At 38.9% G+C, this 14,293-nt stretch overlaps 1 protein-coding gene across 12 annotated transcripts in view; it reads right to left on the reverse strand.

Annotated features, from left to right (window-relative positions):
• Positions 1 to 14,293, reverse strand: part of SCTR (secretin receptor) — an 84,641-nt gene that overhangs the window by 54,909 nt on the left and 15,439 nt on the right. For 2 of the 12 annotated variants that reach the window (XM_047445403.1, XM_047445402.1), the window contains exon 1: positions 723 to 1,471. The exons of 9 other annotated variants lie outside the window; for them this stretch is intronic. Coding sequence is in view for 1 of the 3 variants with exons in the window: in XM_017004670.2 (XP_016860159.2) it covers positions 723 to 764 (42 nt within the window). In the remaining 2 variants the exon portion in view is untranslated. Of the gene's footprint in view, positions 1 to 722; positions 1,478 to 14,293 lie in introns of those variants that run through there. One more of the 12 variants, XM_017004670.2, reaches the window with a different exon arrangement.

The raw sequence follows: 14,293 nt of genomic DNA on the forward strand, positions 1-14,293 counted from the left end.
TGCAAATCATCTGTGGCTTGTCCACTGCAAATTTTGCTTTTAAGTTTATGAAGGCTCCTGAGCCCAACAAGCTGTTTGCTTTCTCAGCATCTTATTCTACATCTGTGGGACTTACTTTATGCTACTCCAACTGTGTGAGTGTTTTCTTTTTTGAAAGCTTAGTGTTTTTTGTTTTCTTTGGTCTTGTTTTCTATTTTTCTAGAGACAGGGTCGTTCTCTGTCACTCAGGCTGGAGTGCAGTGGTGTGATCATAGCTCACTGCAGCCTTGATCTCCTGGGCTCAAGCAATCCTCCCACCTCAGTGCTCCCAGCAGCTAGGACTACAGGCCAGGCATGTGCCACCATGCCTGGATATAGATTTACACACACACACACACAAATGCAAACACACACACACAGATATATATACACACACATAAAAGAGAGAAGGGGGTCTCTCTATGTTGCCCAGACTGGTATCAAACTCCTGGGATTATAGGCATGAGCCACTGTGTCCAGCCTGAAAACCTAGTTTTGATTCAGACAAGTTCTTTAAAATGTACACTTAACCATCTTCTTGTCCCACAGAAGAGCGCATAATCACACCTAGAACAGCGACTGCAGGGAGGAGTTGGACAGGAGAGTGGAGGAGGGACTGGCACTCAGCTGTGACTTCCTCACTCTTTCCAGTGGCACACAGCTCACGTACTACTGCTCTTGTCCTCTTCCTTGTGGGGTCTCACCTGGTTCTTGCTGAAGCCCATAGTCTCTGGAAATTCCAACATAATGGAGCAGGGAGAGAAGACCCTGGAGACAAAGCCACATTCCAAATTGGCCCAAGTAATCAAAAGTTCTGGGCCAGAGAAGGACAGCTAAGGTAGCACTATGGTCAAATGGCTCAGAGGCAAGTAGAAGTCATCTTCTGATTAGCTCCTATTCAGGATCTTCCACATGTTACCACCCTTCACTAGTGCTATCGGAAAGGATCTACCAGCTGCAGCAACTGCTCCTCTCCCCGACTCCATGACACCAACTGACCAAGGTTTATGTTCCCCATGAAAAACACATCACCTCCCCTGGCCCAGAGCTTGTGATCAGTCATGGCCGGCTGTTGCAGAAACACCTGGGCCCAGCCAGCTCTAGGATCATAGAATGCTCATTCTTTCCCCACCTCTCAGCCTTAAGTTTCCATTTACTCTCGACACCATACAGCAAATGTGTTAATCATGTTGTTTGTCATTTAGACTCTTGATTGGAACAGGCAGTTTCCCTAAGAATATAGCAGTTGTCAAGAGAGCTGGCATTGGCACACAGCTCACGCACTCCTGCTCTTGTCTTCTTCCTTGTGGGGTCTCACCTGGTTCTTGCCGAAGCCCATAGTCTCTGGCACCCTCTGGCTTCTCAGTGGAGGAAGTGGAAGAGCTTGAGTGGAAAAATCCACCTAGAGATTGGCAGGCACTGCCTGTTAGTTCACTGGTCAGCACACATGCTGTTCAGAGCTGCTTAGAAATTAACATGACTCTCAACAGGACAGAAAGTGCTGGAGGTAGTGAGACCAGGTATAACCTTTTAAGTAATTTAAGGAATTGTAGATGGTAAGTGTCACAGAAATGTTCATACCCTTTGGCCAACTAACTGTACTTCTGGGAATCCATCCCACATGTGGGGAAAGCTTTATATAGACAGATTCTGTCACAGCTTTATATATAATATAGAAAAAAAAGACAGACTTCTGCTTCCAGAAAAATGGGTTAGATGTACTTTTCCCTATTACGTCTACTAAGTGCAAATAAGATCCTGGACATTATATACAAAACAAACATAAGAAGACTCTGAAAAGTGGAAGAAGAAGACAGATGGACTAGGGGCCCTGGAGCCCAAGAATGACCCAGTGGTGAGTCCCACCTCATATATCACAGGACTGGAGCTGAAGATGTTGGCAATAAGGAAGCACTGCCAGATAGTGACAAAAACAACCCCAGCAAATGCCTGATCTTTAGCCAACGACCAGGAAAGGGGCATCTAGCGAAACAGAAAACTTTTAGCCAATAACCACCCTACTCCTGCCAACCACCACAGAAAACCTGTGGCCCCACTCCCACATCCCTGGAAAGGTGAAGTAGGGAGTCCGGACCCCCACCCTTGCCAAGCCATAACTGGTAACCAGCCTTGGTGATGTTAGGAGGTGATACGTGTGTTTCACAGAGACTGCAAACTCTGGCCAGGGCAGTGCCAGAGAGGCCAAATAGGAGCTGTAACTTTCATCCCTGCTGTGTGGTAATGAAGTCTCCCCCAACCCATGATATCAGTGGAAACTAGACTACTACCCTAGTTCAGAAGTAACAAGGTCCTCCTCTTCATGTCTTCACCAGAAGGTGTCAGAGAAGTCCTAATGGAGAGTTGGGGTTTCCACTACCACCGAGTGGCACTGTGGCCACCCCCACTGCTGTGTCAGTGGAGACTGTGTGTGGAGCTGATACTCCCACCCCACACTTATCATCAGTCACTAGGCTCCTCCCCCACTCTGCAGGTGTCAAATAAGGCAGAGTGGGAACGTTGGACTTCTATTTTCACCTGGTCATAAGAAGGGAGCACCCATTCCCCCCACTTCCCCTCTCAAAAAAAAAAAAGCTAACTAAAAGAGAAGGCTTGAATAAGATCCACAGTTCCATAACATAAAATGAAAATGTCTATCTTTCATCATATCAAGAACCAGGAAGATTTCAAACTGGATGAGAAAAACATAATTAACAGATGCCAACACTGAGATGATAGAGTTGTTAGAATGATCTGACAAAGATTTTAAAGCATTATGAACATGCTAGAAACAAATGTAGAAATACAAACATCAGCAAAAAGGAAAGGAAAGGAAGGAAGGAAGGAAGGCAGGAAGGCAGGCAGGCAGGCAGGCAGGCTAAGCAAAGAAATAAAAGATATAAAGAAGAATCAAATGGAAATTTTAGAAGTGAAAAAGATAATAAACAAAATAAGCTCCGTGGATGGGCTCAAAAGCAGAATGATGGTGATGGAAGGAAGGGTGGATAGAGAAAAGAAGCAGTGACCTAGAAGATAGAACACTAGAAATTACACAACCTGAACAACAGAGAGAAAATAAACTGAAAATAAAAATTAAGAAACCTTGAGGAACCTGATGGGGATTATAACAAAATACCTAGCATTCATTTCTTAGGAGTTTCAGAAGGAGAGGAGAAAGAGGGTGGAGTTGAAAAAAGTACTCCAAAAAATAATGGCTGAAAACTTCCCAAATTTGGCAAGAGACATACACTTGTAGACTGAAGAACACAAACCAGCCCTAAAGAAGATAAATCCTTAAAAGTCCACACCAAGGCACATTATTTTTGAAAACTAAAGACTAAGAAAAAACCTAGAAAGCAGCCAGAGAAAAACTACACTTTATCTAAAGGGGGAAAACAGTTAAGATGACAACTGGTTTTCCATCAGAAGTTACAGGAAGATGGCACAATATTTTTAAAGTGCTGAAAGAAAAGTATTGTCAACCATGAATCCTATACTCAGTAAAAATATCCTCCAGGAATGAAGGGGAAATCAAGACATTCTCAAATAAGAAAAAGTAAAAGAATTTGTTGCCAGTAGACTCACCCTAAAAGAATGGCTAAAAGAACTTCTCTAAATATAAAGAAAAAGTTAAAGAAGGAAAACTGTAACATTAGCAAGGAAGAAGAACACAGTAAGCAAAAATGTGGGTAAATGCGATAGGTTTTCCTTCTCTTCAGTTTTCTAAATTATGTTAATGATTGAAGCAAAAATTACAACACTGTCTGATTTTATTCTAAATGTATATCAACTACATATTTAAGACAAGTATATTACAAATGCGGGATGATAAAGGGACAAAAATAGAGATAAGATTCTATACTATCCTTGAACTGGGAGCATGAGAACACCAGTAGCCTATTATAAGTTATGTATGTATAATGGAATATCTAAGAGCAACTTAAAAAGCTGCTTAAAGAGATACACTCAAAAGCACTGTAGATAAATCAAAATAGAATTTTAAAAATTGTTCAACTAACCCACAAGAAGGCAGAGAAAAGTAAACTAAGAAATAAAAATCTTAGAGAACAAATATAAAACAAAAAATAAAAAGGCAGATTGAAGCCCTCACATATCAATAGTGACATTAAATGTAAATGGTCTAAACACACCAATTTTAAAAAGAGAGACTGGCATATTGGATTTTAAAACATGATTAAACTATACACTGTCTACAAGAAACTCACTGTAAATATAATCTAGGCAGGTTGAAAGGACAGAAAAATATATATTATGTAAACATTAATCAAAGAAATCAGGAGTGACTATATTAATGTAAGATAAAGTACAGTGTAGAGCAAAAACAATAACCAGAAACAGAAAGACACATTACATAATGATAAAAAAAGGCAAGCTATCAAAAAATACATAGCAATGGTAAATGTGTATGCACCAAACAATCATGCTGTAAAATATGTGAAACAAAAACTGATAGAACTGAAAGGAGAAATAGGCAAATCTACAATTTTAGTTGGAGACTACACACTCTTCTCTTAACAATGGATAGAATAACTAGACAGAAAATCAGCAAGGATCTAGGAAAACACCATTAACAAAGACAATCTAATTAACGTTTATAGAACATTTCACCCAACAACAGCAGAATACACATTTTAATCAAGTGCTCATGGAACATTTATCAAGCAGATCATGTTGTGGGCCATAAAACAAAACACAACAAATTTAAAAGAACTGAAATCATATACAATGTGTTCTCTGACCACAATGAAAACAAATTAAAAATAAATAACAGAAAGAAAAATGGAAAATCTCCAAACACTTGGAAATGAAGCAACACACTTCTAAACAATCCATGAGTTTAATATTGAAAATGAATCAATGTAATTTATCGTATTAACAGCTGAAGAAAAATCACATGATCATATCAATAGAGGCAGAAAAATTATTTGAGAAAATTCAATGTCCATTAATGAAAAAACTCTCAGAAAAATAGGAACAGAGGGGAGCTTCTTCAACTTGATAAAGAGCATCCAAAAAAAACCTACAGCTAAAACCATACTTAATGTTGACATTTCTTGCCTTAAGGATGGCAAGATGTCTACTCTCACAATTCTTATGCAACACAATATTGGAAGTCTTAGCCAATGCAATAAGACAAGAAAAAGAAATAAAGGCATACAGATAAGAAGGAGGAACACATACATATACATAAGACACTCAGACAACTCAATAGCAAAAATAAATATACACTTCAATTTAAAAATGGGCAAAAGGACTAAATAGACTTTTCTCAAAAGAAGACATACAAATGGCAGCAGGTATATGAAAAATGCTCAACATCACTAATCATTAGAAAAATGCAAATCAAAACCACAATGAGACAGTATTTCACCCCAGTTAGGACTAAACTAAAAAGTGTAGTCCTAAAAGTTTAGTCCTTAAAAAGACAAAAAGTACTAAATGTTGGCAAGGATGAGAAGAAGGGGAATGCTTGTATACTGCTGATGGGATGAATTGTAGTACAGCTATTATGGAAAACAGTATGGAGGTTTCTCAAAAAACTAAAAATAGAACTACCATATGATCCAGGAATTTCACTTCTGGGTATATATCCAAAAGAAAGGAAATCAGTATGTCAAAGAGATATATGCAGTCTCATGTTTATTGCAGCACTATTCACAATAGCCAAGATATGGAATCAACCTAAGTACCCATCAGCAGATGAGTAGATAAAGAAAATGTGGTATATATACACAGAGGAATATTATTCAGCCATAAAAATCAATGAAATCCTGTCATTTGTGGCAACACAGTTGGAAATGGAGGTCATTATGCTAAGTGAAATATGCCAAGCACAAAAAGACAAAAAAAATCACATGTTCTCACTCATACATGGGAACTAAAAAGGTGGATCACATGAAGATAGAGACTAGATGGGTGGTTACCAGAGGCTGGGAAGGGTAGGGGAGAAAAGGGGTTGAAGAGAGGTTGAATAATGGGTACAAATATAGTTTTGATAGAAGAAATATGACTTAGTGTTTGATAGATCAGTAGGGTGACTATAGTTTAAAATAATCTGTTGTATATTTCAAAATAGCTAGAAGACAATAATTTCAATATTTCTAGCATTAAGAAAAGACAAATATTTAAGGTGATGGCTATCCCAACTACACTGATTTGATCTTTACAAATTATATGAATGTATATGATTATCACATGAACCCCCAAAATATATATATCTAAATGTGTCAATTAAAAAAATTTAATAACAAAAGGTTGAAAAAGAAAAGAAGTAAGCCAGACACAAAAAGACAAATATTGCATGTTGTCACTAGCATGTAGGAGCTTAAAAAGTGGATCTTGGCCAGGCATCGTGGCTCATGCCTGTAATCCCAGCACTTTGGGAGGCCAAGGCAGGTGGATCACGAGGTCAGGAGATCGAGACCATCCTGGCTAACACGGTGAAACCCTGTCTCTACTAAAAATACAAAAAATTAGCCAGGCTTGGTGGCAGGCACCTGTAGTTCCAGCTACTCGGGAGGCTGAGGCAGGAGAATGGGGTGAACCTGGTAGGTGGAGCTTGCAGTAAGCCGAGATCATGCCACTGCACTCCAGCCTGAACAACAGAATGAGACTCCATCTAAAAAAAAAAAAAAGTGGATCTCTTGGAGGTAGAGAATAGAATGGTGTTTACCACCTGCTGGGAAGGGTGGGGGAGGAAAGGATGAACAGATGTTGGTTAATGGGTACAAAAATACAGTTAGGTAGAAGGAATAAGTTCTAGCCTTTGATAATATAAGTAGGGAGATGATAGTTAGCAATAATTTATCATACATTTCAAAGTAGCTAGAAGAATTGTAATGTTTCCAACAAAAAGAAAAGATAAATGTTTGAGGAGATAAATATCCCAATTACCCTGACTTGATCATAACATATTGTATACCTGCATCGAAATATCACAATTACCTCCAAAATATGTAAAACTATGATACACCAATCAAAAAATACAAAGAAGAAGAAGAAGAAAAACCTATTTGCAGATAACATGACTGTCTACATAGAAAATCCCAAGGAATCTACCAAAAAAAAATCCTAGAACTAAAAAGTATATTCAGGAAGGTCTCAGGATAAAAACTAAACACACACAAACAAATTGTATTTCTATATACTTGCAGTGAGCACATGCACAGTGAATTAAAAACCCAGTGGCCAGGCGTAGTGGCTCATGCCTGTAATCATAGCACTTTGGGCGGCCAAGGTAGGTGGATTGCTTGAATCCAGGAGTTCAAGACCAACCTGGGCAAGATGTCAAAACCCCATTTCTACAAAAAATACAAAAATTAGTTGGGTGTGGTGTCATGAGCCCGTAGTCCCAGATACTTGGAAGGCTGAGGCAGGAGGCTTAAGCCCATGAGGTTGAGGCTGCAGTGAACAGAGATTGCACCACTGCTCTCCAGACTCAGAGACAGAGTGAGACCCTGTCTCAAAAAAAAGAAAATACAGTATCACTCAGAATCAATTAAAAAAAGAGATGCTTAGGCATAAATCCAGCAAAACATGTGCAGAATTTATATGCTGAGAACAACATAATGCTGATAAAAGGAATCAGAAGTCTAAATAAATGAAGAGACATACCATGTTCATGGATTAGAAGACTTGACATAGTAAAGATGTCAGTTCTTTCCAAACTATGTTTAACACAATTCCTATCAAAATCCCAGCAAGTGTTTTGGAGATACAAAGATTATTCTAAAATTTATGTAGAAAAGCAAAAGAATGAGAATACCTAAAAGAGGTGTTTTTTTTTAAGAAGTGAAATTAATTATTCATAAGTGCTAAAACCAGGAATCAACTAGGACTTCCTTCTATAGGTCAATGGATAAACAGATCATAATACAGACATACAATTGATGATTATCCAGTGATAAAATAAAGGAATGAGCTGCTGGGCACTGTGGCTCACACTTGTAATCCCAGTGCTTAGAGAGGCTGAGGCCAGAGGATTGCTTGAGTCCGGGAGTTCAAGACCAACCTGGGCGACAGAGTGAGACCTCGTCAAAAAAAAAAAAAAGAAAGAAAGAAAAGAAAAAAGAAGGCTGGGCATGGTGGCTCACACCTGTAATCCCAGCACTTTCAGCACTTTGAGAGACCGAGGCAGGTAGATCATGAGGTCAGGAGATCGAGACCATCCTGGCTAACACAGTGGAACCTCATCTCTACTAAAAAAAAAAAAATACAAAAAATTAGCCAGGTGTGGTGGCAGCCACATGTAGTCCCAGCTACTCGGGAGGTTGAGGCGGGAGAATGGTGTGAACCTGGGAAGCAGAGCTTGCAATGAGCCAAGATAGCGCCAGTGCACTCCAGCCTGGGCGACAAAGCAAGACTCCATCTCAAAAAAAAAAAAAAAAAAATAGAAAAGAAAAAGGAAAAAAGAAATGAGCCATTAAGTCACAAAAAGACACAAAGTAATCTTAAATACAGATTGCTAAGTGAAAGAAGTCAATCTAAAAAGGTTACCAGCTGGCAGTGGCGTCTTACACTTGTAATCTCAGCACTTTAGGAGGCTGAGGCAAGAGGCTTGCTTGAGTCCAGGAGTTCAAGACCAGCCTGGCAACACAGTGAGATCCCATCGCTTAAAAAAATTATTTTAAAAATTAGCCTGGCATGGTGGCGTGCATAGGATTGCTTGAGCCTGGGAGGTGGTGGCTGCAGTGAGCCATGATAGCACTACTGCACTCCAGTCTGGGGGACAGAGTGAGAAATAAATCATTCAATAAATTACATACTATATAATCTCAACTGTATGGAAAAGGCAAAAACTTTGGTGACAGTAAAAAAAATCAGTGGTTGCCAGGGGACAATAGGGAGGGAGAGTGGGCTAAGTTGGAATGGAAGAATAGGTGGAACGTGGGACTTTTAGGGCAGTGAATCGATTCTGCATGATACTGTAATAGCGGATACATGTCATTATACATTTGTCAAAACCCATAGAATATACAACACAAAGTTTATTGTAAACTATGAACTTTAGTTAGTAATATTGTATCAACATAAGCTCAGCAATTGTAATAAATAAACCACATTGATGCAAGATGTTAATAGGGAAAACTGGAGAGGAGGGATTGAAGGGGTATATGGAAACTCTTTGTACTTTCCACTCAATTTTTCTGTATACCTAATTCCTTTCAACAAAATTAATTCTATTAATTTTAAGAAAAGTGGAAAGAATCGGTTTACCTGATTTTAAGATGTATTATACAGGTACAGTAATCAAACAGGATATCAATGGAAGAATAGAAAAGTAGATCAATGGACACAATAGAAAACCTAGAAATAGACCTACGTAAATATGCACAACCAATTACTGACAAAGGTACAAAGGGATTCAATGAAAGGATCATCTTTTCAACAAATGGTGTTGAAGCAACCGAACATCTGTAGACAATAAAATGAACCTTGAGCTCAGTCTCACACTTTACACAAAAATTAAAATGGATCACGGGCTTAAATTCAAGCTATGAAACTTTTATTTAAAAGCATAGGAGCTCAGCTGCAGTGGTGCATGCCTGTAATCTCAGCACTTTGGGAGGCTGAGGCAGGCGGATCACCTGGGATCGGGAGTTCGAGATCAGCCTGACCAAGATGGTGAAACCCCACCTACTAAAAACACAAAAATTAGCTGGGCGTGGTGGCGCACACCTATAATCCCAGCTACTAGGGAGGCTGAGGCAGGAGAATCACTTGAATCCAGGAGATGGAGGTTGCAGTGAGCTAAGATTGCGCCACAACACTCCAGCCTGGGTGACAAAGTAAGACTCTGTCTCAAAAAATAAAAATTAAAAATAAATAAATAAATAAATAAAAGCATAGGAGAAAATCTTCAAATCTAAAGCTGCATAGAGTTCTTATGCTTGGCACCAAAAGCATGATCCATATAAGAAAAGATTGACAAATTAGACACAATAAAAATTAAAACCTTTGCTCCTTGAAAAACCATGTTAAGAAGATGAAGAGACAAGCTATGGAATCGGAGAAAATGTTTACAAACTACATATTCAAGGAAGGAATAATATCTAAAATATACAAAGAATGCTTGAAACTCAACAGTAAAGAAGCAAAAATTCTAATTAGATCATAAGCAAAAGACATGAAGAGATAGTTTACAGAAGATATACAGATGGCACAGAGAAATGCAAATCAAAACCACAATGAGATACCATCTCACACCAGTTACAATGGCGATCATTAAAAAGTCAGGAAACAACAGGTGCTAGAGAGGATGTGGAGAAATAGGAACACTTTTACACTGTTGGTGGAACTGTAAACTAGTTCAACCATTGTGGAAGTCAGTGTGGCGATTCCTCAGGGATCTAGAACTAGAAATACCATTTGACCCAGCCATCCCATTACTGGGTATATACTCAAATGACTATAAATCATGCTGCTATAAAGACACATGCACACATATGTTTATTGCAGCGCTATTCACAATAGCAAAGACTTGGAACCAACCCAAATGTCCAACAATGATAGACTAGATTAAAAAAATGTGTTGTGTGGTGGGGGGAGGGGGGAGGGATAACATTAGGAGATATATCTAATGTTAAATGACTAGTTAATGGGTGTAGCGCACCAACATGGCACATGTATACATATGTAACTAACCTGCACGTTGTGCACATGTACCCTAAAATTTAAAGTATAATAAAAAAAAGAAAAAAAAATGTGGCACATATACACCATGGAATACTATGCAGCCATAAAAAATGATGAGTTCATGTCCTTTGTAGGGACATGGATGAAGCTGGAAACCATCGTTCTCAGCAAACTATCGCAAGGACAAAAAACCAAACACCGCATGTTCGCACTCATAGGTGGGAACTGAACAATGAGAACACATGGACACAGGAAGGGGAACATCACACACCGGGGCCTGTTGTGGGGTGGCGGGAGGGGGGAGGGATAGCTTTAGGAGATATACCTAATGCTAAATGAAGAGTTAATGGGTGCAGCACACCAACATGGCACATGTATACATATGTAACTAACCTGCATGTTGTGCACACGTACCCTAAAACTTAAAGTATAATTTAAAAAAACAGAGAAAAAAAGATATACAGATGGCAAACAAGCACATGAACATGTATTCAACATTATTAGCTATTAGGTAAATCCAAATTAAAACCTTTATATGGTATCACTCCATATCTATCAGAATGGCTAAAATACAAAAGTAACAACACCCAATGCTGGCAAGGTCACAGGGAAATTGGATCACTCAGACATTGCTGGTAGAAATGTAAAATGGTACAGTCACTGTAGAAAACAGGTTGGCAGTGTCTTGAAAACCAACCAGGCAACTAAACATGCAACTACGACAGTCCTGGGCATTTATCCCAGAGGAATGAAAACTCACGTTCACAGAAAAACCTGTTCATAAATATTTATAGCAGCTTTATTCATAAAAGCCCCCAAACTTAAACAATCCAGATGTTTTCCAATGGGTAAGCAGTTCAATAAACTGTGGTACATTCATACTATGGAACCCTATTCGGCAATAAAAAGAGCAAACTATTGATATATGCACCAACCTAGACGAATCGCCAGAGAAATATGCTGAATGAAAAGAAGCTAATGCGAAGAAATTACATACTATATTATTCCATTTATCCATTTGTATAGCATTCCTTATTTTATTTTATAATATTTATTTATTTATTTATTTATCTTTTAGAGACAGGGTCTCGCTCAGTCACCCAGGCTGGAGTGCAGTGGTGTAATCATAGTTCACCGCAGCCTTGAATCCCCAGGCTCAAGAATCCTCCTGCCTTAGCTTCCTGCACAGGTAGGGCTACGCATGCACTGCCATAGCCAGGCTAATTTTTAATACTTTTTGTAGAAATGGGGTCTCTGTTCCCAGGCTGATCTTGAACTCTTGGCCTCAAGCAATCCTCCTGCCTCAGCCTCTCAAAGTCTTGGGATTACAGACACGAGCCACCATGTCTGGCCTATATAATGCTCTTGAAATGACAAAATTATAGAAATGGAGAAGAGATGCGTGTTGTCAGGAGTTAAGGACGGGGTGAGAATGGGAGAAAAGTGGAAATAACTATAATAGGGCACCATGAAGGGCCCTTGTGATGCCAGAAATATTCTGTATCTTGACTGCAGCAATGTCAATATCATGATTGTAATCTTGTACTGTCTATATATAGTTTTGCAAGATGTTACCATTGGGAGAAACTGGGCAAAAGTTACAAGAGATCTCTCTGTATTATTTCTTACAACTGCATGTTAATTTACAACTATTTCAAAATAAAAAGTTGAATTACAAAAAAAAGACAACTTAATTATCTGAGTATAAAAGAACATCTAGCTAGGTAAAGTATGTTGAGTCCATTTAACAGGATATGTTCAGGCATTACATATGATTATTTAAGGAAAGTGTTTAGCAGTACAGACTATCAACAGTAATACCGTGATGTTAAACAGGAAAATCAAGACAAACTTATATGTACAGTATGATTGTAATTATGTTAAATGTACTAATTTTTCAGAGAAAAATCTGGAAGAAAATGCATGAAAATATTATGAAAATTATCTTTTAAACCTTTTAAAATAATGTTTAAATATGCAGAGGAAGGTAGACAACCAATGTGTGTGTAGCCCTGCTATCACTAAGTGAACATGTCAACAGAGCTGCCATTTGTCAGGGGAATAGGGGAAGAACTCGTCCCCTGGCTGTCACTAGTAAGGTAGGCTGGGGACTCAGCAGCAGTTATTAGTTTAAAGAAAGAAATTATTTCTTTAAATCAAGGTTTCTGAACTAAGAGCCAAATTTGCTATGGGTGTCATATATGAAATGAAAGTCCGCATTCCATTTCCTCTTTCTCGTTCTTTTTTTTTTTTTTTTCTTTTTTTTTTTTTGAGGCAGAGTCTGGCTCTGTCGCCCAGGCTAGAATGATGCAGTGGCACGATCTTGGCTCACTGCAACCTCTGCCTCCCAGGTTCAAGCGACTCTCCTGCCTCTGCCTCCCAAGTAGGTGGGATTACAGGCACCAGCCACCACGCCCAACTAATTTTTGTATTTTTAGTAGAGATGGAGTTTCACCACATTGGCCAGGATGATCTTGATCTCTTGACCTCGTGATCTGCCCATCTCGGCCTCCCAAAGTGCTGGCTCATTCTCACTCTTACCACCCGTCTCTTTTGGCAGAGACTGTTTCCCCAGTAAATATTCTTCCCTTTCTCTAGTATAATCAAAACTTAACTAGGCAATTGGTTACCCACTTAGACACTACAGTTTCCAATTTCCTTGCAACTAAGGCGTGCCCATGAGATTAGATTCTAGCAATGGATTGGAGTGAAAAACACATGTGCAAATTCTGTCTCATGCCCTTGAAGGAAAGGGACGTGCCTCCCTCTTCTACGTGTGGATATTGCGGTGAACCATATTCAACCATGGGGATGGGAGTAACAGCCCTAAGGCTGATTGTTCTGCTGGACTAAGAGGACTAAACTTATCCTGGAGTTTGCTTCTGAACCTCCACATTCCATCATATTCTCTTTTCTAAAAATTTTCTTTTTCTTTCTTTCTTTTTCTTCTTCTTCTTCTTCTTTTTTTTTTTTTTTTTTTTTTTTTGGCAATCTCGCTCTGTTGCCCAGGCTGAAGTGTAGTGATACAATCATAGCTCACTGCAGCCTCGACCTCCCAGGCTCAAGCCATCCTCCCATCTCAGCCTCTTGAGTAGCTGGGACTACAGGCGCATACCACCACACTCAGCTAATTTTGTATTTTTTTGGTAGAGACAAGGTTTTGCCATGTTGCTCAGGCTGGTTTTGAACTTATGAGGCTCAAGTGACCCTCCTGCCTCAGCCTCCCAAAGTGCTGGGATTACAGGTGTGAGCCACTGTGCCTGGCCTAAATTAATTTTTTTCATTGATAAATAAAAACTGTATAGATTTATTATGCACATGTTGTTTTGAAATATGTATACACTGTAGAAAGGCTCTTATTGAGCTAATTAACATAGGCATTATTTCACTTTTGTGTGTGCGGTGAAAACACTTAAAATCTACTCTCTAAGCAATTTTCAAAAACACAATACATTGTTATTAACTTTAGTCATCATGTTGTACATCCATTGCGTCCTCTTGATGTTAATATACAGGAAGTAACTCAGACTTAGGAAATTTACTGCCAAGGACAGGAAAGAAGTATGCTGTAGTTACAAGTACTGGTCTCAACGCCCTATGGGGTTTATACATACATATGACT

The sequence above is a fragment of the Homo sapiens genome, chromosome 2 (assembly GCF_000001405.40).
Source record: "Homo sapiens chromosome 2, GRCh38.p14 Primary Assembly".
Taxonomy (NCBI): Eukaryota; Metazoa; Chordata; class Mammalia; order Primates; family Hominidae; genus Homo; species Homo sapiens.